This window comes from Homo sapiens, chromosome 12 (genome assembly GCF_000001405.40).
Source record: "Homo sapiens chromosome 12, GRCh38.p14 Primary Assembly".
NCBI classification, from domain to species: Eukaryota; Metazoa; Chordata; class Mammalia; order Primates; family Hominidae; genus Homo; species Homo sapiens.
In genome coordinates, this window is record NC_000012.12 from 4897714 (window position 1) to 4902291 (window position 4578).

A 4578-nucleotide genomic window follows, 5' to 3' on the forward strand; every position below is an offset into this window, starting at 1 on the left:
GCCCCAGGGTTCAAGACCAGCCTGGGAAACATGGCAAAACCTCATCTCTACACAATTACAAAAAATTAGCCAAGTGTGGTGGTGTGTACCTGTAGTCCCAGCTACTTGGGAGGTTGAGGTGGGAGGATGGCTTGAGTCCAGGAGGTCAAGGCTGCAGTGAGCTGTGAACACACCACTGCACTCCAGCCTGGGCAACACAGTGAGACCCTGTCTTAATTTAAGAAAAAAAGAAAGGAAAAAGATACAGTAAAAATATGGTATAAAACCTGTATAGGGCACTTACCATGAATGGAGCTTGCAGGACTGGAAGTTACTCTGGGTGAGTCAGCGAGTGAGTGGTGAGTGAATGTGAAGGCCTAGGACACTACTGTACACTACTGTAGACTTTAGAAACACTGCACCCTTAGGCCACACTAAATTTATTAAAATACATTTCTTTCTTCAATAATAAATTAACCTTAGCTTACTGTCACATTTTTACTTAATAAACTTTATTTTTTTAACTTTTTGACTCTTTCATAACACAATTTAAAACATAAACACATTGTACAGCTGTGCAAAAGTATTTTTTCTTTGTACCCCTATTTCATAAGCTTTTATCTATTTTTAATTTTTAAAAAATCTTTTAAACTTTGTTATTCAAAACTAAGACACAGACAAACATATTAACCCAGGCCTTCATGGCATCAGCATCATTAATATCACTGTCTTCCACCTGCACATCTTGTCTCACTGGAAGCCTTTCAAGGGCAGTACCACTCACGGAGCTGTCATTTCCTATTATAACAATGCCTTCTTCTAGAATACCTCCTAAAGGACCTGCCTGAGGCTATTTTACAGTTAACTTTTTTTAATAAGTAAAAGGAGTACATGATAAAATAATAATAAAAATTATAGTATAGTAAATACATAAACCAGTAACAGTTATTTTATTATTACCAGGTATTATGTACTGTACATAATTGTATGTTCTATAGTTTTATATGACCAACAGCAAAGTAGGTTTGTTTACACCTGCATCACCACGGGCAAGGGAGTAATATGTTACATCACTATGTCACTAGGCGATTGGAAGCTTTCAGCTCCATTACAACCTTATGGGACTACCATCTTATACATAGTCTGTTGACCAAAAGGTTGTTATCTGATGCATGACCATTCATTATCCCAGACATTGAACTCTGATTGATTTGTGATTTACTGTGAGTAAGACTGGGTCTTTATGGTAATGGACTACATACCTTCCAGATGATGTGGGGCAAAACGGCAAGGTTCCACGTGTTTTCCTAATTCTTCTTTGGGACTCTCTTCAACCTTTCATGGTCTCCTTTTCTATACCCATCAGTAGATAACATCTATTTCACTCAGAAACTAGAAACCTTCAGATGAAATCTCCCTCTAGTTTCTGAATTCACTCTCGGCTCACAGGTGCAGAAATACGTTCCATCCCTTGCATCTTTCCAGTTGATTAAAGTGAATAGGTCCCTTACTCTACAAAACGAATGATTCTAGCTGTACTCTTGATCCCTCTTCTCATTATTCCTAGGGATCTCAATTAATTTTTCCCATTTCTCTGCTATAGCTTCAACCTTGTTCTCATATTTTCTTCAGTTATCATTCTTAGCATTTAAGCATGCTCAAATCTTGAAAAAAAATCCCTTGACCTCAGGGACCCCTTTAACTATTACTTCTATCTCTCTCCTGTCCTCTAGTTTTAAATCTCTTCGAAGAATGCGGAGTTTCCCTAACATTACCTGCTCCCTTCATTGATTCCTTTCCTACTGCAACCTGGTATCTGTTCCCACTACTTCACTGAAACTGCTGCTTCAATGCAAGACAATCAATGGCCAGTTGGTGGCTACGTCTCACTATATTTCTTATTCTAACTGATCTCCCTGAAGTGCTCCCTTCTCTTTGTACGTTTCTGTCTAAGATGTTCAGGCCAAAGACCTGGGAGCCACTCCTAACTCTGTCTGTCCCCTGCTTCTCTGGATACTTGTTAATCAACTCCCTACTGTGCAGTCCTCCCTTGTCCTTTTTAACACTGCTCTGAAATCTCCAACCTCACGGTTTGGGTGAGATTGACCACATTCCATCTCTAGGAAAGGGTCCTGATTTCTTTAATCCAGTCAGCACATCCCATCTTCCCGGCTGCAGTGATTGGCTCAAGGATGAGTAAATAATGCAAGGCAGGGCAATCAGAGTCACTGAGACTCAATTCTGAAACTCTTTTTTGAACCATCAGAGAAGTGGACTTATTTCCTGCTAGACATGAGGGATATAGCCTCAGGAGTGCTGCAGCCATCTTGGGAACTCACACAAGAGGTCTGCTGGAGAGTAGAGTCAGTCTGGAGGCCTGGATGGATGGAGAAATGCAGAAGGAAAAAAAATAGGTCATGGTCATAGACTTAAGTGCTGGCGAAAGCCTTTCCTGAAGCTCCAAACCTATTTTAAAAATGCTCAGTTTTCTTATCCAGTAAGTCCCTTTTTCTTGTGTAAGCCATTTTGGGTCACATTTTTCATGTCTATAATCAGAAAAAAGTTCTGACATAAGGCCCTACATCTGAATCGTTTATCCATAATGTGTTGGAAGTCTGTTTAAAATTTTTAATGAGAAGTTCTTTAATGAAATTTAATGAGCAAACTCAACTCTAACTTGAGAATGAGGAAAGTTATTGAATTTTGTAACAGGAAGTTCCACGAGAAGAAGGCTTCATGACTGGTTGATTCAGAAGCCTAACGCTGTTGCCAGATTCCAGGGTTTTTGTCTCCCTCTCCTATGACATCTTCACTGTTGGCTTAATCATTTGGCCTGGTAACAGCATGGATATAGCAATGACTCATCCAGACATGGCATTTAGATGACGAAAGGAAAGCAGTCTTTCTATAGTGTTTTCCTATCACTGAGGAAGCCTCTCCCTGAAGACATCCAGAAGAAATCCTCTCATATCTCCTAAGCTAGAACTGCGTCTCAGGCCAGTTCCTGCGTGAGATACCCTGGAGCAGTGGGCTTCTCTTCTGGCACATGGCTAGGTAGAAGGCAGTTCTCAGGGAGATAACAGGGAAGATTGGAAGGTCAGGAGGAACCCAACAGGATCCACTATAGCAACAAACAAGAGGCTTCATGACCTGGCTCCTGCCACTTCTCTGACCTTATCTTTTGCCACTCACCTCTTTGTACTTGACCTTGCAGCTCTACTGACCTAAGCTCTGTTTTTCTGAGCATTTTATTCACTCACTTGTGTATCTAAGACCTTAAAGTGTGCTGCTGCCTTTGTTCTAGAAGACACTCCCACGTCCATACCTCATTGTCTACTCATCTTTTGGGATTCATCTTATATGTTACCTTGTTGCTTACCCTGAGAATTGCTCCCTCACTCCTAAGGCTTGGTTAGGGGCCACTCTTCTATAGTCCCAACACACCTCTGCCTGTCCCATTAAAGTGTTTGTCATGTTGCCTTGTAATTACCTGTTTATTTCCTTGTCTTCACAACTAGAATATGACCTTGAGGATATGATTTCTATCTTGGCCTCTGATGTATTACAAAATAATTGAGGCATAGCAGGTGTTCCATAATTTTTTTTTTAGTGAATTTCTAAGTGCATACTCCCCCAAGATCTGAGCCTGTCCAAGTAGTCCTACTAAGGCAAAATATTCTGCCAGTCCTTCCTACTACATATACTCCTCTTTTGAAGGGCAACCCAGAGGAGTTTCTTTAAGAAATCACAGGTCAAGCTCTTGAAAAATTCTTATTTCTAAACTTCTGTCAGCTATACACACTTCAATATTATTTATTTGACAAGGCATAATTAAAATAAATGTTACTTAGGTATAATTTACACACAACAAAATGTAACCACCTTAAGTGTACAATTATATGAGTTTTGGCTAAATTAGATGTCCATGTAACTGCTACCACAATCAAGATATGAAACCCCTACAATTCTCTCATGCCCTTTTCCAGTCAATCCCCTCATCCCTGATACCCAGGAACCACTGATCTGTGTTTGCTTCGTCTAGAATCTCATATAAATAGAATCATACAGTATGTGTTCTTTTGTATCAATTCAAATCTTTAGCTCATTTTTTATTGTGTCGTCTGTCTTCTGCTTGTTTAGTTGTAAGAGCTACTTATTTGTCTCAATATGAGTTCTTTGTTCGACATATGTATTATGAATATTTTCTCCCAGTCTATGGGAGGCTTGTCTTTTTCACCTTCTTAACCCTGTCTTTTGAAGTACATAAATTTTAAGTTTTCATAAAGTTCATTGTCTTAACTTTTTATTTTATGGTGCGTTTGTGTTCTAAATTATAAAAATTTTCTCTTGTGTTTTCTTCTAAAAGTCACATAGCTTTAGCTTTTATATTTAGATGGTGATCCATTTTGAGTAATTTTTGTATAGCATGTGAGATGGGTGTGAAGGTTTATGAATGTCCAGTTGTTCTAGGTCCATTTGTTGAGAAGACTGTCTTTTCTCCATTACCTTGACATCTTTTTTGAAAATCAATTGACCATATATTAATGGGTCTATTTCTAGAGTATTCTGTTTTATGGATCTATGTGTCTCCCCTTATAC

The 4578-nt window shown here is 39.0% G+C and overlaps 1 annotated feature.

Annotated features, from left to right (window-relative positions):
- Positions 2116-3315: an enhancer, noted in NCBI's record as "P300/CBP strongly-dependent group 1 enhancer chr12:5008995-5010194 (GRCh37/hg19 assembly coordinates)". NCBI's record gives its function as "activates an origin of replication core promoter dependent on BRD2, BRD4, P300/CBP, MED14 and CDK7 cofactors, with strong dependence on P300/CBP, by STARR-seq in HCT116 cells {active_cell/tissue: HCT116}" and the evidence as "EXISTENCE:reporter gene assay evidence [ECO:0000049][PMID:35650434]".